General features: G+C 46.3%; 4 annotated features.

Moving 5' to 3' along the window:
- Positions 10,584 to 10,633: an enhancer, noted in NCBI's record as "active region_7225". NCBI's record gives its function as "activates an Ori minimal core promoter by ATAC-STARR-seq in GM12878 lymphoblastoid cells {active_cell/tissue: GM12878}" and the evidence as "EXISTENCE:reporter gene assay evidence [ECO:0000049][PMID:35858748]".
- Positions 10,654 to 10,713: an enhancer, noted in NCBI's record as "active region_7224". NCBI's record gives its function as "activates an Ori minimal core promoter by ATAC-STARR-seq in GM12878 lymphoblastoid cells {active_cell/tissue: GM12878}" and the evidence as "EXISTENCE:reporter gene assay evidence [ECO:0000049][PMID:35858748]".
- Positions 10,744 to 10,793: an enhancer, noted in NCBI's record as "active region_7223". NCBI's record gives its function as "activates an Ori minimal core promoter by ATAC-STARR-seq in GM12878 lymphoblastoid cells {active_cell/tissue: GM12878}" and the evidence as "EXISTENCE:reporter gene assay evidence [ECO:0000049][PMID:35858748]".
- Positions 24,868 to 25,368: an enhancer, noted in NCBI's record as "H3K27ac hESC enhancer chr12:122927953-122928453 (GRCh37/hg19 assembly coordinates)". NCBI's record gives its function as "activates a minimal SCP1, AML or CMV promoter by ChIP-STARR-seq in primed H9 embryonic stem cells {active_cell/tissue: H9 hESC(primed)}" and the evidence as "EXISTENCE:reporter gene assay evidence [ECO:0000049][PMID:30033119]".

The raw sequence follows: 27,071 nt of genomic DNA, 5'->3' as shown, positions 1-27,071 counted from the left end.
CCGTGATCTGCCCGCCTCGGCCTCCCAAAGTGCTGGGATTACAGGCATGAGCCACCGCGTCCGGCCGGCAGGTGCCCCATTTTAAAAATATATTGTTGGCCGGGTGCTTTGGCTCACGCCTGTAATCCCAGCACTCTGGGAGGCTGAGGCGGGCAGATCACCTGAGGTCGGGAGTTCAAGACCAGCCTGACCAACATGGAGAAACCCCATCTCTACTAAAAAAAAAAAAAAAAAAATTAGCCAGGCGTGGTGGTACATGCCTGTAATCCCAGCTACTCGAGAGGCTGAGGGAGGAGAATCATCTGAAGTCGGGATGCAGAGGTTGCGGTGAGCCGAGATCCCACCATTGCATTCCAGCCTGGGCAACAAGAGCAATACTCCGTCTCAAAAAATAAATTAATTAATTAAAGTAATAAAATAAAGAAGTATTGTTTGCTGTTTTGGAGTATTGCAAGACTGTTGGGTGGAGGAACAAGTTACTGTTTCAACTTGCCCATGCCATGACAGGTTCCAGGTGTGGGTAGATGAGGTAAGAACCAGACGTTTGTCCTTCAAGATTGACTTGGAGCAGGGGTGGGGATATCTCTTTAATCTTTGTCTTGGGTTAAAGGGAATGTAAACTGCAGTGCAGGTTGCTAAAACAAGGCCAGCTCTTTGTTGTTGTCTCCTAGAAGCAGGTAAGTGGAAAGAAGGAACTGCCCTTATTAAAATAGAAAACGACCTCGTTCTTTTTTCAAAAGGTCACATTTCCTTACATGGTGAAAATGCCGTCCACTTTCTACTAACATGAAGCGTCCTCCTGGTTGATTTTATTCTTCAAGTTCTCGGCTGGAATCATTTTGCTTTTTTCTGTCTTGAATTGGGGTTTTTTTACTTTTTTTCCCTCTAGGTAAATTTTTTTTTTTTTTTTTTTTTTTTTTTTTTGGAGATGGAGTCTCGCTCTGTCGCCCAGGCTGGAGTGCAGTGGAGCAATCTCGGCTCACTACAAGCTCCGCCTCCCGGGTTCATGCCATTCTCCTGCCTCTGCCTCCCAAGTAGCTGGGACTACAGGCGCCCGCCACCACGCCCGGCTAATTTTTTGTATTTTTGGTAGAGACAGGGTTTCATTGGCCGGGCACGGTGGCTCACACCTGTAGTCCCAGGCGTGACTTTGGGAGGCCGAGGCGGGCGGATCACAAGGTCAGGAGATAGAGACCATCCTGGCTAACGCGGTGAAACCCCGTCTCTACTAAAAATAAAAAAAATTAGCCGGGCGTGGTGGCGGGCGCCTGTCGTCCCAGCTGCTTGGGAGGCTGAGGCAGGAGAATGGCGTGAGCCCAGGAGGCGGAGCTTGCAGTGAGCCGAGATAGCGCCACCGCACTCCAGCCTGGGTGACAGAGCGAGACTCTGTCTCCAAAAAAAAAAAAAAAAAAAAAAAAAAAAGGAGACAGAGTTTCACCATGTTAGCCAGGATGGTCTCGATCTCCCGACCTCGTGATCCGCCCGCCTTGGCCTCCCAAATTGCTGGGATTACAAAGTGAGCCACCGTGCCCAGCCCTCTCTAGGTAAATCTTTAGAATTTGTGGATTATCATTAGCAGGCAAAACCAGCAAGGGTGTTGTAACAACCTTTAGTACGCAAGTTGCTTGTGTCAGAGACGTTTAAACCAGAGCGACTCTATCTCGTATAGAGGCTGGGTAAAATGAGGCTGAGACCTACTGGGCTGCATTCCTAGATGATTAGGCATTCTAAGTCACAGGATGAGATAGGAGGTCAGCACAAGATACGTGTCATAAAGACCTTGCTGATAAAACAGGTTGCAGTAAAGTAGCCAGCTAAAACCCACCAAAACCACGATGGCCACGACAGTGATCTCTGGTTGTCCTCAATGCTAGACTCCCATCAGTACCATGACAGTTTACAAATGCCATGGCGACATTAGGAAGTTACCCTATATGGTCTAAAACGGGGAGGCAAGAATAATTCACCCCTTGTTTGGCATATCATCAAGAAATAACCATAAAAATGGGCAACCAGCAGCCCTGGGGCTGCTCTGCCTATGGAACAGCCATTCTTTCCTAATAAACTGCCTTTCACTTTATGGACTTGCCCTGAATTCTTTTTTTTTTTTTTCTTTTGAGACGGAGTCTCACTCTGTCACCCAGGTTGGAGTGCAGTGGCCCAGTCTCAGCTCACTGCAACCTCCCTTTCCCTGATTCAAGCAATTCTGCCTCAGCCTCCTGAGTAGCTGGGATTACAGGCCCCCGCCACCATGCCTGGCTAATTTTTTTATTTTTAGTAGTCATGAGGTTTCAACATGTTGGCCAGGCTGGTCTAGAACTCCTGACCTCAAGTGATCTGCCCGCCTCTCCCTCCCAAATTGCTGGGATTACAGGCGTGAGCCACCGTGCCCGGCGTCATCATCTAGGACTGCATCCTATGCACACATTTCCACAGTACTAAAAGGTTTACCTTTAAAAATGTTAAGTGCACCGGGCTTGGTGGCTCACGCCTGTAATCCCAGCACCTTGGGAGGCCGAGGCGGGCGGATCACGAGGTCAGGAGATCGAGACCATCCTGGCTAACATGGTGAAACCCTGACTCTACTAAAAATACCAAAAATTAGCCGGGCGTGGTGGCGGGCACCTGTAGTTCCAGCTACTCGGGAGACTGAGGCAGGAGAATGGCTTGAACCTGGGAGGCGGAGCTTGCAGTGAGCTGAGATTGCGCCACTCCACTCCAGCCTGGGCGACAGAGTGAGACTCCCTCTCAAAAAAAAAAAAAATGTTAAGTGCAGGCCAGGCACAGTGGCTCACAGGAGCAGGAGGACTGCTTGAGCTCAGGAGTTCAGGACAGCCTGGGCAACATGGTGAAGCCCCGCTCTACAAAAGTAAAAATAACTTTTATTTTAATAATATTTTCTTCCCAAAGTGCTGGGATTACAGCCATGAGCCACTGTGCCATACTTGTGTACCTGTCTTTATGAGACCAAAAACTAAATAAAATGTATTTCACCCCCGCTTTTTTTTTTTCCCGAGACAGAGTCTCACTCCGTCACCCAAGCTGGAGTGCAGTGATGCGATCTTGGCTCACTGCAACCTCCGCCTCCCAAGTTCAAGCTATCCTCGTGCCTCAGCCTCCCGAGTAGCCGGGATTACAGGCGCCCACCACCATGCCTAGCTAATTTTTGTATTTTTAGTAGAGACAGGGTTTTGCCATGTTGGCCAGGCTGGTCTCGAACTCCTGACCTCAGGCGATCCACCCACTTCGGCCTCCCAAAGTGCTGGGATTACAGGTGTGAGCCACTGCTCCCAGCCTTATTTCCCCCTTAAAATTTTTTTTTTTTTAATTTGAGAAGGAGTAATCCCAGCTACTCAGGAGGCTGAGGCAGGAGAATCGCTTGAACCTGAGAGGCGCAGGTTGCAGTGAGCCAAGATCACGCCACTGCACTCCAGTCTGGGCAACAGAGCGAGACTCCATCTCAAAAAAAAAAAAAAAAAAAAAAAGAAAGAAAAGAAATGTGGGATTTGTGTGTGTGTGTGTGTGTTTTCTCGAGATAGGGTTTCACTCTGTTGTCCAGGCTAGGGTACTCGACCTCCTGGGCTCAAACAATCCTCCTACCTCAACCTCTTAAATAGCAGGGACAACAGGCATGTGTCACCACACCTAGCTTATGTTAATAATTTTCATTGTGATGGGGTCTCCCTACATTACCCAGGCTGGTCTTTAACTCCTGGGCTCAGGAGATCCACCCGCCTTAGCCTCCCACAGTGTCAGAATTATAACCACGAACCACCACGTTCCGCAAAAAAATTATTTATTTATTTATTTATGAGATGGAGTCTCGCTCCGTCACCCAGGCTGGAGTGCAGTGGCGCAATCTCAGTGGCGCAATCTCAGCTCACTGCAACCTCTGCCTCCCAGGTTCAAGCGATTCTCCTGCCACAGCCTCCCTAGTAGCTGGGACTGCAAGTGCATGCCACCATGCCTGGATAATTTTTTTGTATTTTTAGTAGAGATGGGGTTTCACCATGTTGGCCAGGCTGGTCTTGAACTCCTGACCTTGTGATCCGCCACCTCAGCCTCCCAAAGTGCTGGGATTACAGGCACGAGCTACCGCGCCCGGCCTAAGAAATGTATTTTTTAAACAAAATTTCCTATCAACAATATGGCTGCATTTGGAATTTTGTAATAGGAGGAATTACTGAAAAGGCAAGGGGTGTGGCCCTTACTGAACGCTGACATTCCGGGCAGCTGAGATTGCTCCTTTGTAGGGTGACCTCATGCCAGAGTGATTTCTTAATGTTTTCCGTCATGGAAGCAAATTCATTAGTCATAAGTGAGAATGACAAATGAAACTGGATTGGAACAGGTTGTGGGATTGGACCTGGGGCAAATTTCTCACAGACTTGGAACAAGTTTCCTTCTGTTCCTACCACAGTCCTGATCTTGGATTCTTCAAACCAATTACAACTCTGTTCATTGTACTGGCCCATTCTACTAAGTTTTTATTTAGAACATTTGGAGGAATACTGAACACCTACTATATGAGGGTAGTTGAAATCTAATAGGGTTCATGACTTTAGAGAGTCAAGGATTAGGACAGGCATAGCAGGCATGTGGTAGAAACAGAATGTTTGCCTACAGTCATAATTGAAGGAAATGTCAAATTTCCCTGAATTCTATCCAGAAGGTCCGTGGACCCCCAGTTAAGAACCTTGCAGCAGGGCTGGATGTGGTGGCTCACGCCTGTAATCCCAATGCTTTGGGAGGCCAAGACAAGAGGATAGGTTGAGGCCAGTAGTTTGAGACCAGTCTTGGCAACATAGCAAGGTTCGAGACCTGTCTCTACAAAAAATAAACAAAATTAGCTTGGTGTGGTGGTACACACCCGTGGTCCCAACTGCTCGGAAGGCTGAGATAGGAGGACGGTCGAGGCTGCAGTGGACTGTGATCGTGACATTGAACTTCAGCCTGGGTCAGAGACAGACCCTGTCTCCTAAGAAAAAAAAATTTTGTTGAGCAAGTGACTAGATTCAAAGGTTAAAATAGCCTACTTGTATATTACCTTTTAGAGATTGGCTGAGGTCTAAGTAGATTGGTGCTCAGGGTAAGAGTTTGAACTCAGTGATCACTAAGGTTCCTTCCAACTCTTTTTTTTTTTAGAGAAAGGGTGTTGCTCTGTTGCCCAGGCTTCAGTGCAGTGATGTGATCATAGCTCACTATAGCCTCGAACACCTGGGCTCTCGCTATCCTCCTGCCCGGCCTCCCAAGGAGCTGGGGCTAAAGGCACATGCTGCCATGCATGGCTAATTTTTTCATTTTTATTTTATTTATTTATTTATTTTATTATTTTTATTTTTTGAGACGGAGTCTTGCTCTGTCGCCCAGGCTGGAGTGCAGTGGTGCAATCTCAGCTCACTGCAAGCTCCGCCTCCCGTGTTCGCGTCATTCTCCTGCCTCAGCCTCCGGAGTAGCTGGGACTACAGGTGCCCGCCACCACGCCCGGCTAATTTTTTGTAGTTTTAGTAGAGACAGGGTTTCACCGTGTTAGCCAGGATGGTCTGGATCTCCTGACCTTGTGATCCTCCCACCTCGACCTCCCAAAATGCTGGGATTACAGGCGTGAGCCACTGCGCCCAGCCTCATTTTTATTTTTGTAGACATGGGGTCTCAGTTTGTTGCCCAGGCTGCTCTTGAACTCCTGGGCTCAAGCAATCCTTCTGCCTCAGCCTCCCAAAGTGCTGGCATTACAGGCCAGAGCCACTGCACCCAGCCATCCTTCCAACTCCTTGGTCTGTGTTTTGCCCTTACTTGAGCTTCCTTCATCATAACTTGCAAACTTGCATTTCATTTTTGATGAACTGAAGCAATTTTCTTTCTTTTTTTTTTTTTTTTTTTTTTTGAGATGGAGTCTCGCTCTGTCACCCAGGCTGGAGTGCAGTGGCGTGATCTCGGCTCACTGCAAGCTCTGCCTCCCAGGTTCACGCCATTCTCCTGCCTCAGCCTCCCGAGTAGCTGGGACTACAGGCACCTGCCACCATGCCCAGCTAATTTTTTGTGTTTTTAATAGAGATGCGGTTTCACCATGTTAGTCAGGATGGTCTCAATCTCCTGACCTCGTGATCTGCCCGCCTCGGCCTCCCAAAGTGCTGGGATTACAGGCGTGAGCCACCGCACCCGGCCTGAACTGAAGCAATTTTCTAAGCTCCTTCTTTATTCTGATGCTCAGAGTAAAATTGCCAGTATATTTAATGTGCTTTGTGTAAATGACTCACTCCTGAGTGTTTTTAGGATGTTTAGATAAAGATAGGCCTTGTTGTGCTCTTTAGAAGAAATTGCGACCAAGTGTGTTTTACAAAGGAATAGGTAAATAACTGCAGGCACAAAACATAAATGATCCACTGAATATTCATCAGTTATGGTAGGAATGGGTGGTATTCATTTCCCAGTTTGTTGAGTATTTTTATCAAGAAGGAGTATTGAGTTTTGTCAAATACATTTTCCGTATTGAGATTATCATGCAGTTTTTGTCCATTCTATTGATTCAATGTATTACATTAATTGATTTTCAGATGTTGAACCAACCTTGTATTCTATCACATTTGATCATATTGTTTAATCCTTTTTATATATTGGTGGATACAGTTTGCTAGTATTTTGGTGAGGATTTTGTATCTATGTTTATTAAAATATTGGTCAGTAGCTTTCTCCTTTTTCAACCATTTCTTGTATTGATTTTTAATTAAAAAATAATTTTTTTTTGAGACAGGGTCTCTCTCTGTTGCTCAGGCTGGAGTGCAGTGGCAAAATCTTGGCTCAATGCAACCTCCACCTCCCAGGCTCAAGAGATCCTCCCACTTCAGACTCCTGAGTAGCTGGGACAACAGGTGTACACCACCATGCCAGGCTAATTTTTTTATTTTTTGTAAAGATGGAGTTTGACCATGTTGTCAGGCTAATTTTTTAAATTTTAATTTTTTTGAACCAAAATGTCTTTTAATTGAATACTGAATACATTCTGTTAGGACATAAGAGTGACTGACAATTTTTTTTTTTTTTTTGACACGGAGTTTTGCTCTTGTTGCCCAGGCTGGAGTGCAGTCATGCGATCTTGGCTCACTGCAACCTCTGCCTCTCAGGTTCAAGCAATTCTTGTGCCTCAGCCTCCCTAGTAGCTGGGATTACAGGCACCTGCCACCATGCCCGGCTAATTTTTGTATTTTTAGTAGCACAGGGTTTCACCATGTTGGCCAGGCTGGTCTCGAAGTCCTGACCTCAGATGATCACCCGCCTTAGCCTCCCAAAGTGCTGGGATTACAGACACAAGCTCGATTTTACAGCCCAGTTTTTTTTTTTAAGACAGGATCTCCCTTTGCTGCCCAGGCTGGAGCACAGTGACATAAACATCGCTCACTGCAGCCTCTACCTCCTGGGCTCAAGTGATCCTCCCGTCTCAGCCTCCCAAGTATCTGAGACCACAGGTAAGCACCACCATGCCCAGCTAATTTTTAAATTTTTTATAGAGACAGAGTCTTGCCTTGCTGCCTGGGTGAGTCTCAAACTCCTGGGCTCAAGAGATCCTCCCACTTCAGTCTCCCAAAGTGCTAGGATTGCAGGCATGAGCCACTGCGCCTTTATAAGACTGATGTCTTTATAAGAAGAGGGAAATCTGGCACAGAGAGATGGAGGCAGAAAGCGATGTGGAGATGGAGGCAGAGACTGGAGTGATGCATCTATGAGCCAAGGAATGCCAGAAGCTGTGAGAGAGGCATGGAACAGCCCGTCCCTCAGAGTGCCCAGAAGGAGCCAACCTGGGAATTCTAGCCTTGAAAGCTGAGAGAATATGGCTGGGCTCAGTGGCTCACCCCTGTAATCCCAGGACTTTAGGAGGCCAAGGTTGCAGTGAGCTGAGGTCGTGCCATTGCACTCCAGCCTGGGCAACAGAGTGAGACTCTGTCTCAAAAAAACAAAACAAAACTGAGAACTGAGAGAATATGTTTCTACATTTCTGCTGATTAAGCCACCCAGTTTGAGGGACTTTGTGGAAGGCCCCAGTTAGCTGATTCTCATCCTTACAGACAGGCAGAATCTTTTCCAAAGAATTGCATCCATGTTCATCTTTTCCTGTTTTCTGTGATCTCTGAGGAGTCCGAGACTTCCAGAATGAGATGAGCATTTCATAGTCAACATTGGCCTTATCTCGCCAGACACTGAGTACAGTCAACCCTACAGTAAACTCTACTATACTATATTACTATATAGGGCTATGCTATAGCAATAGTTCTCAACACAGAGTTTACAGACAAATTGTCTCTCAGAAATCCACAAGTTCTCCACATAATTATTTTTTTTTGAGACGGGGGGTCTCTCTGTTGTCCAGGCTAGAGAGCAGTGGTGAACTCTTGGCTGACTGCAGCCTCGACCTCCCAGGCCCAAGTGATCCTCCCAACTCAGCCTCTGAGTAGCTGGGATCACGGGTGCACGCCACCACACCCGGCTAATTTTTTTTTTTTTTTTTTCAGTAAAGACAGGATTTTGCCACGTTGCCCAGGCTGGTCTGGAATTCCTGGCCTCAAGTGATTGCCCACCTTGGCCTCCCTAAGTGCTGGGATTACAAGCGTGAGCTGCTGTGCCTGGCCCTGATAAATTTTTATATTTTCTGCTTTCATTTCAATGATAATGAAAAATCAGACATTAAGATCTTTTTTTTAATTTATTTTTTTGAGACAGCGTCTCGCTCTGTTTCCCAGGCTAGAGTGTTGTGACGCAATCTCGGCTCACTGCGACCTCTGCCTCCCAGGTTCAAGGGATTCTCCTACCTCAGCCTCCCAAGTAGCTGGGGTTACAGGCGTGCACCACCACACCCAGCTAATTTTTGTATTTGTAGTAGAGACAGGATTTTGCCATGTTGGCCAGGCTGGTCTCGAACTCCTGACCTCAGGTGATCCACCCACCTCAGCCTCCCAAAGTTACTGGGATTACAGGCGTGTGCCACTGCACCCGGCCTCAGACATCATGATCTTATTCCTGGTCATGATGCACTACCACACAACCACGTGCTGCTGTGTAATTTCAGTGCCCACATACTGTTTATTATCATGCTACTGCAAAGTTAAATCCTAAAGTCACTGCTATTTTGAATTTTTATCTTTTTGAGATAGGTCTTGCTATATTGCCCAGGCTGGCCTCAAATTCCAGGGCTCAAGGGATACCCCCCCTCCAACATCAGTGTCCTGGGTAGCTGGGACTACTGGCTGGCATGTGCCACCATGCCTGACTCTATTTCTATTTCTATTTATTTATTTAAGAGACAGGGTCATGCTCTGCTGCCCAGGCTGGAGCGCAGTGACGCAATCACAGCTCACTACACTCTCAAACTCCTGGGCTCAAGCTATCTTCCCTCCTGAGTAGCTGGACTACAGGTGCATGGCACCATGCCTGGCTAATTAAAAAAATTTTTTTTGTAGAAACAAGGTCTTGCTGTGTGGCCCAGGCTGGCCTCAAACTCCTGGGCTCAAGCAATCTGTCTGCCTTGGTCTCCCAAAGTACTGGGATTACAGGAGTGAGCCATTGCACCTAGCCCTTAAAGGAATTTTTTTCTTTTTCTTTTTTTTTTTTTTTTTTGAGACAGAGTCTTGCTCTCTTGCCCAGGATGGAGTGCAATGGCACGATCTCGACTCACTGCAGCCTCTGCCTCCTGGGCTCAAGTGATTCTCCTGCCCCAGCCTCTGGAGTAGCTGGAATTACAGGTGCCCTCCAAGACACCCGGCTAATTTTTTTATTTTTAGTAGAGTTGGGGTTTTACCATGTTGGCCAGGCTGGTCTCAACTCCTGACCTCAGGTGATCCACCTTCCTGGGCCTTCCAGCCACCATGCTAGGCCTAAAGCAACTTCTAAATGAAGTGCTTCTCAAGCAGAAACCAAGGACAAATTCTCAGCAGCCAGAGAGTTGCCATGTGTGATAAATACTAGTGTGATGAATCAGAACGATCAATACATGAAAGAGCTTCGGGCCAGGCATGGAGGTTCATGCGTGTGATCCTAGCACTTTGGGAGGCCGTGGCAGGAGGACAGCTTGAGCCCAGGAGTTCAAGATCAGCCTGGGCAGCATAGCGAAACCCTACAAAAAATCAAAGATTAGCTGGGCATGGTGGCACACACATGAGCCCGGGAGGTCAAGGCTGCAGTGAGCCAAGATCACACTATTATACTCCAGCCTGGGCAACAGAGCAAGACCCTGTCTCAAAAAAAAAAAAAATTAAATAAATAAATAAATAAATAAATAAATAAATAAATAAAATTAGCCATGTGTGGTGTTGCACACCTGTAGTCCCATATACTCAGGAGACTGAAGTTGGAGGATTGCTTGAGCCCAAGAGGTTGAGGCTGCAGTGAGCCCTGATTGTGCCATATCATTCCAGCCTGAGTGACACAGCGAGACCCTGTCGCACACACACACATACACATGCACGCACACGTACACATGCACGCACACACGGCCGGGCACAGTGACGCATGCCTGTGATCCCAGCACACTGGGAGGCTAAGGCAGGTGGATCACTTGAGGTCAGGAGTTTGAGACCAGGCTGGCCAATATGGTGAAACCCTGTCTCTACTTAAAAAAAAAAAAAATTAGCTGGGTATGGTGGTGCATGCGTGTAGTCCCGGCTACTCAGGAGGCTGAGGCAAAAGGATCACTTGAGCCCAGGAAGTGGAAGTTGTAGTGAGCCGAGATCACGCCACTGCACTCCACCCTGGGTGATGGGAGTGAAACACTGTCTCAAAAAACAAACAAACAAAAACCAAAAGTAGGTGGTTTTTATTAGTTTCCTAGGTCTGCTATAACAAACTACCAAAAACCTGGGTGGATTTGAAGAAGAGAAATGTATTGTCTCACAGTTGTGGGGCTGAAGTCTGAGGTGAAGGTGTCAGCAGGGCCCTGGTCCCTCTGAAGACTCCAGGGGAGAAACTGTTCCTTGCTCCCCTCCCAGCTTCTGGTGTCCCCAGGCATTCATTAGATTGCATATGCACCCCGTCCTCCCTGTTCCCATGGATTCTCCCTTTATGGCATCTGTCCTGTGTGTCCACACGTGTCTGTGCCCAAACTTCCTTTTCAGAAGGTTCCCATCATATTGGAGTCAGGCCTACCCCCACTGACCTCCTCAATTACTTCTGTAAAGACCCTGTTTCCTAAGATCCCATTCCAAGGCGCTGGGAGGCAGGACTTTTTTATTTTATTTTATTTTTTGAGATGAAGTCTTGCTCTGTTGCTGGAGTGCAGAGGTGCGATCGCGGCTCACTGCAGCCTCTGCCTCCCAGGTTCAAGGGATTTTCCTGCCTCAGCTTCCGGAGTATTTGGGATTACAGGTGCTGGGTACTATGGCAGGCTAATTTTTGTTATTGTTAGTAGAGACAGGGTTTCACCATTTGGCCAGGCTGGTCTTGAACTCCTGACCTCAGATGATCCGCCCACCTCAGCCTCCCAAAGTGCTGGGATTACAGGCGTGAGCCACCGCACCTGGCCCAGGGGCAGGACTTTAACATATCTCTTTGGAGGGCACACAAGCCAACCCATAACAGGGGTCCAAAAGTGGCACAGGGTCGCTTGCTGGGGTCAACATGATGGTTCTAGGACCAGTCATTACACCTGTACTTCAGTGTATAGGGGAAAAAAAACTGTATTTTTAAATTTATTTTATTTTTTGAGTCAGGATCTCCCTAGGTCACCCAGGCACGAGTGCAGTGACCTGATCACAGCTCACTGCAGCGTCAACCTCCCACCTCAGGTTCAGGTGATCCTCCCACCTCAACCTCCCAAGTAGCTGGGACTACAGGTGTGCACCACCATGCCTGGCTAATTTTTGTATTTTTAGTAGAGATAGGGTTTTACCATGTTGCACAGGCTGGTCTCGAACTCCTGACCTCAAGTAATCTGCCCGCCTTGGCCTCCCAAAGTGCTGGGATTACAGGTGTGAGCCACCACGCCTGGTCGTATTTTTTGAGACATGGTCTTGCTGTGTCACCCAGGCTGGAGTGCAGTGGTGTGATCGTAGCTCACTGCAGCCTTGACGTCCTGGGCTCAGGTGATCTTCCCACCTCAGTCTCCTGAGGAGCTGGGACCACAGGCGCACACCACCACACCTGGCTTTTTTTTTATTTTTATTTTTGTGGAGACAGGGTGTCACTATATTACCACTGATCTTGAACTCCTGGGCTCAAGCAATCTTCCCAAAGGATCCTCCCTCAGCCTCCCAAAGTGCTGGAATTACAGGCGTGAGCCACTGCTCTCAGCCTAGCAAATGGTTTTCTCTATAACACTCAACACTTCCAGCACCAGATGTGTGGGGTTTTTCCCACACCAACCCCCTCTTCAACTCTCCAGGCATCAACTGGGGGTTCCACAATTCAACTATGACACAAATGACGTGAGCTTAGAGCAGACCCCACAGGCTTAGTATCACAAGACTTCCCCCCATTTCGGTTGCCAATCTCAAGTAGTGGGTCCCTAGTTTACTCAGACTTCTGTCTGACTTGACTACAAATCGAGGCTCCCATGACCCCTTTTCTAGGTCCAATAATTTGCTATGATGGCTTACAAAACTCAAGGAAACATTTTCAGTTACTAGTTTATTATAGAGAATGTGATAGAGGATATACCTGGCCAGCCAGATGAACAGGTACATAGGGCAAGGTGCAGAAGCGTCTGAATACAGGAGCTTCTGTCCCCGGGGAGCAGGGGTGCGCCACACCCCCAGCATGTGGGCGTTTACTAGCCTGCAAGTTCAGAGATTTTTATGGAGATTTTCTTTCTTTCTTTCTTTCTTTCTTGAGACGGAGTCTCGCTCTTTCGCCCAGGCTGGAGTGCAGTGGCACGATCTCGGCTCACTGCAAGCTCTGTCTCCCAGGTTCACACCATTCTCCTGCCTCAGCCTCCCAAGAAGCTGGGACTACAGGCGCCCGCCACCACGCCTGGCTAATTTTTTGTATTTTTTTTTAAGTAGAGACGGGGTTTATCCATGTTAGCCAGGATGGTCTCGATCTCCTGACCTCGTGATCCGCCCGCCTCGGCCTCCCAAAGTTCTGGGATTACAGGCGTGAGCCACTGCGCCCGGCCTTTCCTTCTTTCTTTTTCTTTTCTTTTTTCTTTCTTTTTTTTTTTTTTTTTGAGACGGAGTCTCGCTGTGTCACCCAGGCTGGAGTGCAGTCTCGGCTCACTGCGAGCTCCGCCTTCTGGGTTCACGCCATTCTCCTGCCTCAGCCTCCTGGGAGTAGCTGGGACTACAGGCGCCCACCACCACACCAGGCTAATTTCTTTGTATTTTTAGTAGAGATGGGGTTTCACCATGTTAGCCAGGATGGTCTTGATCTCCTGACCCGGTGATCCGCCTGCCTTGGCCTCCCAAAGTGCTGGGATTACAGGCGTGAGCCACTGCGCCCAGCCTTTTTTTTTTTTTTTTTTTTTTTTTTTTTGAGACAGCATCTTGCTCTGTCACTACTCAGGCTGGAGTGCAGAGGCATGATCACGACTCACTGCAGCCTCAACTTCCAGAGGCTTAAGTGATCCTCCTGCCTCAGCCTCCCAAAGTGCTAGGTTTACAGACTGAGTCCCCACACTCTGCCTTTATGGAGACTTCTTCATGCAGGCGTGATCCATTATTAACTTAATCTCCAGCCCTTTCCCCTCACCCAGAAGACGGAGGGTGAGGCTGAAAGTTTCAGGATGCTAATCATGGTTTGGTCATTCTGGTGACCAGCCCCCATCCTGAAGCTATCCAAGAGCCCACCAAGTTTGGCTTCATTAGAACAATAGGTCTTCCTGTCACCCAGAAAATTCCAAAGGATTAGGCGCTCGTATTAGGAGACAGGGTCAAAGACCAAATGGTAGAACGAAAGATGCTCCTAACATTTTTTGCTTTAGAAACTGCAAAGGTTTTAGGAGCTCTGGCCAGAAGCCAGGGGCAACAAAGATCAAAATGTATATTTCTATTTTTTTTTTTTTTTGACACAGAGTCTCGCTCTGTCACCCAGGCTGGAGGGCAGTGGTGCGATCTTGGCTCACTGCAGCCTCCGCCTCGCGGGTTCAAGTGATTCTCCTTCTCAGCTTCCCGAGTAGCTGGAATTACAGGCATGTGCCACCATGCCCAGCTAACTTTTGTATTTTTAGTAGAGACGGCGTTTCACTGTGTTGGCCAGGCTGCTCTCAAACTCCTGGCCGAAAGTGATCTGCCCACTTTGGCCTTCTAAAGTGCTGGGATTACAGGCGTGAGCCACCATGCCCGGCCTATTTCTTATTATGTCACAATATCACATCCTATCAGCAGGAGGGAGAAAAGAAAGATAAATGTTTGCCCTCTCCCTTTAAGAAAACTGCCTGGACTGGACACTGTAGCTCACCCCTGTAATCGTAACTACTCGAAGGCTGAGGCCGGAGGATCGCTTGAGCCCAGGAGTTCAAGTTTGCAGTGAACTGTAATCATGCCACTATACTCTAGCCTGGGCAACAGAGCAAGCCTCCATCTCTTACACACACACACACACACACACACACACACACACACACTTCCAAGAGGTTGCATGGGCTACTTCAGCTTGGCCAGAACTTATTTTCATGGCCATCCCTAATAACACAGGAAGTTAGGAAATGTCTTCATTCTGGATGTCACATGGCAGGAAGAATCAGATACAGGAAGAGGGTAGAATGGCTTTGAGGGGGGCGGGACTTCTGGTAGTCTCTGCTTCAGTCTTTGAAAATGGAAGCACAGTAGTGAATGTTATAGTTGACTGTGCAATACTCACTTTACCCTGATCATGGTATATTCAGGGTGGACAGACCTGGGCCCATCTGGGCCCACCTGGGCCAAGGAGATGCATGCCAGAGGGTGCGTGTGTGCGTGCACGTGTGTGTGTGCATGCACACGCACACTTAGAAAACCATAGGAAAGGCCAGGAGCAGTGGCTCACACCTGTAATCCCAGCACTTTGGGAGGCCGAGGCAGGCGGATCACCTGAGTTCAGGAGTTCGAGACCAGCCCGGCCTAAAGGGCGAAACCCCGTCTCTACTAAACATACAAAATTAGCCAGGTGTGGTGGCGCAGGCCTGTAGTCCCAGCTACTAGGGAGGCTGAAGTAGGAGAATCGCCTGAACCTGGGAGGCAGAGGTGGCAGTGAGCCAAGATTGCACCACTGCACTCCAGCCTGGGGAGACAGAGTGAGACTCTGTCTCAAAAAAAAAAAAAAAAAAAAAAAGCAAAAGCAAAAGCAAAAGCAAAGCAAACCACAAGAAAGCATGAATAGGAAATTGTCAGGCCTCTGAGCCCAAACTAAGCCATCATATCTCCTGTGCTGCACGAATACATCCAGATGGCCTGAAGCAACTGAAGATCCACAAAAGAAGTGAAAATAGCCTTAACTGATGACATTCCACCACTGTGATTTGTTTCTGCCCCACCCTAACTGATCAATGTACTTTATAATCTCCCCCACCCTTAAGAAGGTTCTTTGTAATTCTCCCCACCCTTGAGAATGTACTTTGTGAGATCCACCCCCTGCCTGCAAAACATTGCTCCTAACTCCACCGCCTATCCCAAAACCTAAAGGAACTAGTGGTAATCACGCCACCCTTTGCTGACTCTCTTTTCGGACTCAGCCCGCCTGCACCCAGGTGAAATAAACAGCCTTGCTGCACACACAAACCCTGTTTGGTGGTCTCCTCACACAACGCATGAGACAGAAATGTATCATATATCATATCCATTGCTCTGGCAACCATCTTACCTTAGGATGGTTGAATGAAGGATGAAGCCACCTCCGCAAATGGCAGAGAAAGAGAAGAAAAGATTTTGGGTGCTTGAGAAATTTAGCGGCTTGAGCCACTACATCAACCAGCCCTGAAGCTGAACCGTGTTGCAAACGTCCTGTTTTGTGAGCTAATGAGTCTCCTTATTGTCTCCGCTAGTCTGAGTTAGACCAGCTGCTGAAATCGTGATAACTGATGTAAACTCTAATAAAATGTAAGGTAATTTTTGACCAGCAGAGCATAAACCTCAACATCTGACTGGTCCCAGCAGATTTAGGCACCCTTATCTCCTTTTAGCTTTAGGAATTTCATTTGGGATTCAAATGGCTTTATCTGACAGGAACATATGCATAGCTGTTTCCAGGTAGGCTCTGATGGCCTGTATTTGATGGAGTAAGATTGGTTTTACATTTAAGAAAGGTTAAAGTAGAGGGGAACAGGCATTCTCATACATTATTGGTGGGGATATAAATTGGCTCACTCTTTTTTGGGAGGGTAATTTTTTTAAAAATGTAAATGTACATATTTTAGATTCAGTGGTTCTAATCTAAGCATTAATCCTACAACTATGTTTGTAAAAGCACACTGTATGCGCTTCAGATTCAAGCTTCTTGGTAAGACAAAAAACATTTTTAAGAAGAAAAGAAATACGAGTATACTATATATGCACCCAAGGCTGTTTATTGTGGCAATGTGTGTAGTAGCAAGTACTGAAAATAACCTAAATGTCTATTGGTAGGAATCTGTTGAAATCATAGCACACTATGATCTTACAACGCAATGGTTTAAAAAAATGAGGAGGCTGGGTACAGTGGCTCGCGCCTGTAATCCCAGCACTTTGGGAATCTGAGGCAGCAGGATCGCTTGAGCCTAGGAGTTCAAGACCAGCCTGAACGACATGGCAAGAACTCATCTCTAGGGAAAAAAAAAATTAAATAATTTAAAATATGGGGCCAGGCGTGGTGGCTCATGTCTATAATCTCAGCACTTTGGGAGGCCGAGGCAGGTGGATCACCTGAGGTTGGGAGTTCGAGACCAGCCTGGCCAACATAGAGAAACCCCGTCTCTACTAAAAATACAAAATTATCCTGTAATCCCGCATACCTGTAATCCCAGCTACTCGGGAGGATGAGGCAGGAGAATTGCTTGAACCTGGGAGGTGGAGGTTGCAGTGAGTAGAGGTTGCACCACTGCACTCCAGCCTGGGCAACAAGAGCAAAACTCTGTCTCAAAAAAAATTTTTTTAATATAAGGTAATCTACATCTTCTGATATGGAAAGAGGTCTATCTAGAGGTCTATCTATATATTCCCCTAATATATGTATTAACTAAAGAGTGTGGGTGTGTGTGTATATATAAAAGATAAGTTGTAATAGATAATATATAACATGTATTATTTAATATATTAACTTTTCTTTGTAATACATGTTAACTAAACTATATTACACATATATGTATGTTACATTTTATATTGTTACTGGAATACATATATTTATATATATATACTTTGTTAATTTTTTTTTGAGACAGAGTCTTGCTCTGTTGCCCAGGCTGGAGTGCAGTGGTGCGATCTCTGCTCACTGCAACCTCCGCCTCCTGGGTCCAAGCAATTCTCTGCCTCAGCCTCCCAAGTAGCTGGGACTACAGGCAGGTGCTACCACACCCGGCTAATTTTTGTATTTTTTATAGAGACGGGGTTTCGCCATGTGGGCCAGGCTGGTCTTGAAGTCCTGGCCTCAAGTGATCCACCCGCCTCGGCTTCCCAAAGTGCTGGGATTCCAGGCGTGAGCCACCATGCCTGGCTGAATGTATATATATGGTTAGGTGCAATACCCACATATATGAGTTTAAATAATTTTGATTTGCTGTCTCACATCATAAATTACACAAAAAATCTATCCCAGGAGAATAAAAGCAAAAACCTTAAAAATTTTATAGGAAAATATAGGCTAATACTTTGTGACCTAAGAGTTTTAAAAACATCTATTAATTGAAAAGCACCATTTAAAAAAATTTAAAAAACACAACAAAACAAAACAAAAAAAAAACAGGGCACGTATGGGAAAAAATATTTGGAACATATAGAATCATAATATATTAAAAACCACTACAATCAGTTTAAAAATAGACAATGCAACAGAATAATGGGCCAAAGATATGAAGTCGGCTGGACACGGTGGCCTATACCTGTAATCCTAGCACCTTGGGAGGCCGAGGTGGGCAGATTGCCTGAGCTTAGAAGTTTGAGACCAGCTCGGGCAACATGGTGAAACCCCGTTTCTACTAAAATACAAAAAATTAGTGAGGCGTGGTGGTGGGCATCTGTAGTCCCAGCTACTTGGGAGGCTGAGACAAAAGAATCACTTGAACCAGTGAGCTGAGATTGTGCCACTGCACTCCAGCCTCGGCAATAGAGTGAGACTCGATCTCAAAAAAAAAAAAAAAAAAAAGAGATTCTCAAGTTCCTCAGTAATCAGCAAAAAGCAAATTAAAACCATGAGAGAGGCCGGGCGCGGTGGCTCAAGCCTGTAATCCCAGCACTTTGGGAGGCCGAGGCGGGCGGATCACGAGGTCAAGAGATCGAGACCATCCCGGCTAACACGGTGAAACCCCGTCTCTACTAAAAATACAAAAAATTAGCCGGGCGTGGTAGCGGGCGCCTGTAGTCCCAGCTACTAGGGAGGCTGAGGCAGGATAATGGGGTGAACCCGGGAGGCGGAGCTTGCAATGAGCCGAGATTGCGCCACTGCACTCCAGCCTAGGTGACAGAGCAAGACTCCGTCTCAAAACAAAAAATACAAAAAAAAAAAAAATTAGCCGGGCATGATGGCGGGGGCCTGTAATCCCAGCTACTCGGGAGGATGAGGCAGGAGAATCGCTTGAACCTTCTCAGAGGATGTTGCAGTGAGCTAAGATGGTACCATTGCATTCCAGCCTGGGTGATAGACTGAGACGCCATCTCAATTCTTTCAAATCTTTTAGATGGACAAATATTTAATTTTAAAAACAGAGATGAGGAACTTGCTGTGTTATTCAAGCTGGTCTTGAACTCCCAGCCTCAAGTGATCCTCTCAGCTTGGCCTCCCCAAGTACTAGGATTACAGATGTGAGCCTCACACCCTGCCTGGACAAATATTTAAATATCTAATAATACCAAGTGTTAATGAGCATGGGTTTGTTTTTGTTGTTGTTGTTGTTTTTTTTTTTTTGAAGACAGGGATTCTCACTGTGTTGCCCAGGTTTGACTCAAACTCCTAGGCTCAAGGTATCAACTCGCTTCAGCCTCCCAAGTAGCTGGAACTACAGGTGCGTGCCATCATGCTAGGCTTTGCAATGGGAATTCTTAAATTCTACTGCTGGAAATGTAGTAGAACTGGAACTGCCATTTAGAGAGTAATTGGGCAATATACAGTGAAGTTAAACATGTGCATACCTTATGACTCACCAATTCCACTCTGAGCTATGCATTATGAAGAATTTTTTTTTTGCTCTGTGGCCCAGGCTGGAGTGTAGTGGCATGGATGGCTCACTGCAGCCTTGAGCTCCTGTGCTCAAGCAATTTTCCCACCTCAGCCTCCTGAGTAGCTGGGACTACAGGTTCACACCACCACACTCGGCTAATCTTTTACTATTTTTTGTAAAGACAGGGTCTTGCTATGTTGCTTAGGCTGGTTTCAAACTCCTAGGCTCAAGTAATCCTCCCACAGTGCTCAGATTTCAGGCATGGGCCACCTCATCCAGCTGAAATTCTTGAATATAAAATGAAAAAAGCAAAACAAAACCAATAATAGAGGAAGATATGGGACCCCAAAAATAATGCAAGTAATTGAAAAGTCTAAGATTAAAAATGGTTTTTTCTGCCAACTTGGGGGGAAAAGGGGCAATTATAAGCCATTGCTAGGAAATTCTAGGGAATATAGAGAGCAGTATGAGAAATTCATGGTCCAAAGAAAAGAGTTTTATTTTTATTACTCTTCTGTATTTGAATTAATTACCATATTCATGTCCCAGTTCTATAATTTATATAACTAGTTCAAATCTAAAAATAAAATAAAAATAAATCCCTTCATGATTAATTGCAAACTTTGGTACATATACAAAAAAAAAAAAAAAAAAAACACATGAAAAGGTATTTAGGAAGAAGGGATAGAGCTGGCTGCGGTTGGCTCATGCCTGTAATCCCAGTGACTTGAGAGGCTGAGGCATGAGAGGATCACTTGAGTCCAGGAGTTCGAGAGTAGCCTGGGCAACATAACAAGTCCTCATCTCTAACAACAATAAAAATAAAAATTAGCCTGGCCAAAAGAAAGACATACTGTTTCTTGTTTTTAAAGAAAAAAAATTAGCTTGGCATGGTGGTGCACACAAATAGTCCTAGGTACTCGAGAGGCCGCGGCAGGAGGATCCCTTGAGCCCAGGACTTCAAGGCTGCAGTGAGCTATGGTCATGCCATTGCACTCTAGCCTGGGTGAAAAAGTGAGACCTTGTCTCTAAAAAATAAAAATAGGCCGGGCACGGTGGCTCACGGCTGAAATCCCAGCACTTTGGGAGGCTGAGGTGGGCGGATCACTTGAGGTCAGGAGTTCGAGACCAGCCTGGCCAACATGGTGAAACCCCATCTCTACTAAAAATACAAAAATTAGCTGGGCATGGTGGCGCACGCCTGTAGTCCCAGCTACTAGGGAGGCTGAGGCAGGAGAATCGCTTGAACCCAGGAGGTGGAGGTTGCAGTGAGCCGAGATCACGCCACTGCACTCCAACCTGGGCAACAGAGCGAGACTCCATCTCAAAAAAAAAAAAAATTAGCCAGGTGTGGTGGTGCACGCCTGTAATTGCAGCTACTCAGGAGGCTGAGGCAGGAGAATCACTTGAACCTGAGAGGCAGAGGTTGCAGTGAGCCAAGATCATGCCACTGAACTCCAGCCTGGGAGACAGAGTGAGACTCTGTCTCAAAATAAATAAATAAATAAATAAATAAATAAATAAAACAACCTAACCATTTTGCCTCAGGTCTTTTTTTTTTTTAAATTACTATTCTGAAATAATCATTGATTTACTGACAGTTGCAAAACAACATACTGGAAAGTCCCAGGCATCCTCTCCTTGGCCTCGTGAATGTTAACATATAACCATATAGTACAATATCCAAAAAAGAAGTAGACATTGGTATGGTCTATAGAGTTCAGTAGATCTCACCCATTGTACATGTACTCATATATGGGTAGCTCTATACAAAACTGTATAACAGTTTTATTGAAATATAATTCACAAGGCCAGGCACGGTGGCTCATGCCTGTAATCCCGGCACTTTGGGAGGCCGAGGTGGGTGGATCACGAGGTCAGGAGATCGAGACCATCCTGGCCAACATGGTGAAACCCCGTCTCTACTAAAAATACAAAAATTAGCTGTATTTTTAGTACTGTTTGCCTGTAATCCCAGCTACTCGGGAGGCTGAGGCAGGAGAATTGCTTGAACCAGAGGGTCGGAGGTTGCAGTGAGCCGAGATCGCACCACTGCACTCCAGCCTGGTGACAGAGCAAGACTCCATCTCAAAAAAAAAAAAAAAAAGAAAAAAAGAAAAGAAATAGAATTCACATATTTAAAAATTTGCCATTTAAAGTGTACAATTCAGTGGTTTTTAGTCTATTCCCAGAGTTGTAAAGCCATCACCACAAACAATTTTAGAATATTTCATCATCCCCCAAAGAAAGCCCATATCCATTATCAGTCACTCCCCATTTCCTCTTTTCCCTGTCCCTGGCAACCACTCATATGCTTTCTGTCTCTATGATTTTCCTATCTGGAAAATAGCAGTGGAATTATACATTTTGTGGTCTTTTGTGACTGGCTTCTTTCACTTAGCATCATGTTTTCAAAGTTCCTTCATGTCATAGCATATATCAGTACTTCATTCTTTTTTATGGCTGTCTTAGTCCATTCAGGCTGCTATAAAAAATGCCAGGCGGTGACTCACGCTTGTAAGCCCAGCACTTTGGAAGGCCGAGTCGGGCGGATCACCTGAGGTCAGAAGTTTGAGACCAGCCTGGCCAACATGGTGAAACCCTGTCTCTACTAAAAATACAAAAATTAGCTGGGCTTGGTGGTGCACCTGTAATCCCAGCTACTCGGGAGGCGGAGGTGGGAGAATTGCTTGAACCCAGGAGGTGGAGGCTGTAGTGAGTTGAGATCGTGACACTGCATTCCACTCTGGGTGACAGAGCAAGACTGTGTCTCGAAAAGAAAAGAAAAGAAAGAAAAGAAAAATACCGTTAAGTTGGATAGCTTAGAAACAAAATGTGTTTCTCAGAGTTCTAGAGGCTGGGAAGTCCAAGGGTAAGGTGCCAGCAAATTCAGTGTCTGCTGAAGACCATCTCCTGGTTCATAGATGGCACCTGTTCACTGTGTCCTGACGTCATAGTGCAAAAGTCTCATTAACTCTTTGAGGTGCCTTGTTTTGTTTTGTTTTGTTTTTGAGACGGAGTCTTGCTCTGTCACCCAGGCTGAAGCACAGTGGCGCAATCTTGGCTCACTGCAACCTCTGCCTCCCAGGTTCAAATGATTCTCCTGCCTCAGCCTTCCGAGTAGCTGGGACTACATACAGTACCACAACACGTGGCTAATTTTTTGTATTTTTAGTAGAGACGGGGTTTCACTGTGTTAGCCAGGATGGTCTCAAGCTCCTGACCTCATGACCCACCCACCTTGGCCTCCCAAAGTGCTGGGATTATAGGTGTGAGCCACTGCGCCCAGCCCTGAGGTGTCTTTTATAAGGGAACTAATTCAGTTCATAATAGCTCTGCCGACACGACTTAGTCACCTCTCAAAAAGCCCCACCTGTTAATATCATCACCTTGGGGGTTAGGATTTCAACATATTAATTCTGGGGAGATATATTCAGACCATAGCAATGGATGAATGATAATAATAATGCTCTATTGCTATTTTTATTTGTATTTTTATTTTTTTGAGACGAAGTCTCGCTCTGTCACCCAGGCTGGAGTGCAGTGGCATGATCTCAGCTCACTGCAACCACCGTCTCCTGGGTTCAAGCAATTCTTCTGCCTCAGCCTTCCTAGTAGCTGGGATTACAGGCGTGCAACATTATATCCAGCTACTTTTTGTATTTTTAGTAGAGACTGGGTTTTATCAGTCTCTGGTTTCATTGGCCACACTGGTCTTTAACTCTCAACCTCAGGTGATCTGCCAGCCTTGGCCTCCCAAAGTGCCGGGATTACAGGCGTGAGCCACCATGCACGGTTCCTTTGCTTTTTTGTTTGTTTGTTTTTTGAGACAGAGTCTCACTCTGTTGCCCAGGCTGGAATCCAGTGGCACAATCATGGCTCACCACAGTCTTGACCTCCTGGGCTCAGGTGATCCTCCGACCTCAGCCTCCTGAGTAGCTGGGACTATAGGCAAACACCACCACACCCAGCTAATTTTTTTATATTTTTCGAAGAGACAGGGTTTTGCTATGTTGCTCAGGCTAGTCTCCAACTCCTGGACTCAAGCAATCCACCCGCCTCGACCTCCCAAAATGCTGGGATTACAGGCATGAGCCACCACGCCCGGTCACACATTTTGTTTATCTACTCATTAGTTGATGGACATTTGGGTTGTTTCTACTTGTTGACTCTTATAAATAATGCTATGAACATTCGTGTACCAGTTTTTGTATGGATATATGTTTTTATTTATCTTGGGAATACACCTATGAGGATAATTACTGGGTCATATGGGAACTCTATGTTTCACATTTTGACAAGTTGACAAACTGTTTTCAAAGTAGCTGTGCCATCTTACATTCTTACCAGCAATGTATGAGGATTCTAATTCCTTTACATTCTTGGCACCACTTGTTACTATCTGTCCCTTTTATTTTAGTTATCTTAGTGGGGGTGAAGTGGCATCTCACTGTTATTTTGATGGGCATTTCCCCAGTGACTGATGTTGAACATCTTTCCATGTGCTTATTGGCCATTTGTATATCTTCTTTGGATACATGTCTATTCAAATTCTCTACCTTTTTTTTTTTTTTTTTTAACAAATGGGGGCTGGGGATCAGGCGTGGTGACGCCTGTAATCCCAGCACTTCCGGAGGCCGAGGCGGGTGGATCACCTGAGGTCAGGAGTTTGAGACCAGCCTGACCAACATGGAGAAACCCCATCTCTACTAAAAATACAACATTAGCCAGGCATGGTGGCGCATGCCTGTAATCCCAGCTACTCGGGAGGCTGAGGCAGGAGAATCGATTGAACTCGGGAGGTGGAGGTTTTGGTGAGCTGAGCTCATGCCATTGCACTCCAGCCTGGGCAATAAGAGCGAAACTCTGTCTCAGGAAAAAAAAAAAAAAAGCAGAAAAAGAAAAAGAAATGGGGGCTGGGGACAGTGGCTCAAGCCTGTAATCCCAGCACTTTGAGAGGCCAAGGCGGGTGGATCACCTGAGGTCAGGATTTCAAGACTGGCCTGGCCAATATGGCAAAACCCCATCTCTACTAAAAATATACAAATTAGCTGGGCGCGGTGGCACGTGCCTGTAGCCCCAGCTACTCAGGAGGCTGAGGCAGGGGAATCACTTGAACCCAGGAGGTGGAGGTTGCAGTAAGCTGAGATTGCCCTACTGCACTCCAGCCTGGGCGACAGAGTGAGACTGGGTCTAAAAAAAAAATAAATGGGGTCTTGCTATGTTGTCCAGGCTGATCTCAAACTCCTGGACTCAAGTGATCCTCCTACCTTGGCGTCTCAAAGTGCTGGGATTACAGGTGTGAACCAACCATGCCTAGCCATCCTCTGCCCATTTTTAATTGGGCTATATGTCTTTTTATTGTTGCATTGTGGCTGGGAGCAGTGGCTCACGTCTGTAATCCTAGCACTTTGGGAGGCAGAGGCAGGAAGATCACGTGAGGCCAGGAGATCAAGACCAGCCTGGTCAACATAGTGAGACCCCATCTCTATAAAAAGATGTAATGGCTGGGGACGGGAAAACCAAAGTGGGAGGATTGCCTGAGCCCAGGAGTTCGAGACCAGCCTGGGCAACACAGAGACACCAACTCTTCATTTCTCTGCCTCATCTGAAACGAGGCGGCTAACTTCCAGTTTGCAGAAAATATAAGAAATAGAAGAAAAGGCCGGGCACGATGGCTCATGCCTCTAACCCCAGCACTTTGGGAGGCTGAGGCGGGCAGATCACTTTAGGCCGGAAGTTTGAGACCAGCCTGGCCAACATGGTGACACTGTGTCTCTACTGAAAATACAAAAATTAGCCAGGCGTGGTAGTGCATACCTGTACTCCCAGCTACTCGGGTGGTTGAGGCGGGAGAATCGCTTGAACCTGGGAGGCGGAGGTTGCAGTGAGCCGAGATCAAGCCAATGCACTCCAGCCAGGGCAACAGAGTAAGAAAAAGAAAGAAAGAAGGAAAGAAAGGAAGGAAGGAAGGAAAGAAAGAAAGAAAGAGAAAGAAAGAAAGAAAGAAAGAAAGAAAGAAAGAAAGAAAGAAAGAAAGAAGAAAGAAAGAGGGAAGGAGGGAAGGAGGGAACGAAGGAAGGAAGGAAAGAAAGAAAGAAGAAAGAAAGGGAAGGAGGGAATGAAGAAAGGAAGGAAGGGAAGAAAAGGAAGGAAAGGAAGGAAGCAAGGAGGGAGGGAGAGGGAGAGAGAAAGAGAGACAGAAAGAAAGAAAGAGAAAGAGAGAGGAAGAAAGAAAAAGAAAGAAAGAAAAGAAAAGAAAGGAAGAAAGGAAGAAAGAAAAGAAAAGAAAGGAAGGAAGAAAGGAAGAAAGAAAAGTTAAGCCAGGTGCGTGGCTCATGCCTGAAATCCCAGCACCTTAGGAGGCTGAGGCGGGCAGATCACGAGGTCAGGAGTTCAAGACCAGCCTGACCAATATGGTGAAACTCTGTCTCCACTAAAAAAAAAAAAAAAAAATTAGCCAGGTGTGGTTGTGTGCGCCACCTCGTCTCTATTAAAAAAAAGTTAAATAACAAATCCAGAAGGAAGAACATTCTATAGGACAACTGGCCCAGTTTTTTCTTTCTTTCTTTCTTTCTTTTTTTTTTTTTTTTTGAGATGGGGTCTCGCTTTGTCACCCAGGCTGGAGTGCAGTGGGACGATCTTGGCTCACTGCAACCTCTGCCTCCTGGGCTCAAATGATTCTCTTGCCTCAGCCTCCTGAGTAGCTGGGGTTACAGGCACGCACCACCAAGTCCAGCCAATTTTTTTTTTTTTGTAGTAGAGACGGGGGGTTTCACCATTTTGCCCACGCTGGTCTCAAACTCCTAAGCTCAAGCAATCCACCACCTTGGCCTCCCAAAGTGCTGGGATTACAGGCATGAGCCACCACAACCAGCCCAATTTTTTCAAAGGCATTACAGAAAAAAAAAAAAAGGAGGGTACTGTGATACACTGAAAAACTAAAAATAGTGTTAAGAGAAATTGAAGAAGACCTAAATAAATGAAAAGACGGCCGGGCGCAGTGGCTCACACCTGTAATCCCAGCACTTTGGGAGGCCGAGGCAGGCGGATCATGAGGTCAGGAGATCGAGACCATGCTGGCTAACATGGTGAAATCCCGTCTCTACTAAAAATACAAAGAAATTAGCCGGGCGTGGTGGCGGGCGCCTGTAGTCCCAGCTACTCAGGAGGCTGAGGCAGGAGAATGGTGTGAACCCAGAAGGCGGAGCTTGCAGTGAGCCGAAATCGCACCACTGCACTCCAACCTGGGTGATAGAGCGAGACTCCGTCTCAAAATAAAATAAAATAAAATAAAAAATAAATGAAAAGACATTCTGGCTGGGCGCGGTGGCTCACACCTGTAATCTCAGCACTTTGGGAGGCTGAAGCGGGCGGTTCACCTGAGGTCAGGAGTTCGAGACCAGACTGGCCAACATGATGAACCCTCATCTCTACTAAAAATAAAAAATTAGCTGGGAGTGATGGTAGACACCTGTAGTCCCAGCTACTTGGGAGCCTAAGGCAGGAGAATCGCTTGAACCCGGAGGTGGAGGTTGCAGTGAGCTGAGATCGCACTACTGCGCTTCAGCCTGGGTGATGGAGAGAGACTCCATCTCAAAAAAAAACAACAACAACAAAAATTTTTTTAAAAGATGGAGTCCCACCCTGTCACCCAGGCTAGAGTGAAGTGGTGCAATCATAGCTCACTGTAGCCTTTTAACTCCTGGTTTCAAGGGATCCTCCCACCTCAACCTCCCGAGTAGCTGGGACCACAGGCGCATGCCACCATGCTCAACTATTTTTTTGTTGTTGTTCTCTTTTCACTTTTCTTTTTTTTTTTTTTTAAGAG

The sequence above is a fragment of the Homo sapiens genome, chromosome 12 (genome assembly GCF_000001405.40).
Source record: "Homo sapiens chromosome 12, GRCh38.p14 Primary Assembly".
In the NCBI taxonomy this organism is placed as follows: Eukaryota; Metazoa; Chordata; class Mammalia; order Primates; family Hominidae; genus Homo; species Homo sapiens.
Note: the sequence above shows the minus strand (reverse complement) of the source record. Positions and strands in the feature narration are given on the sequence as shown.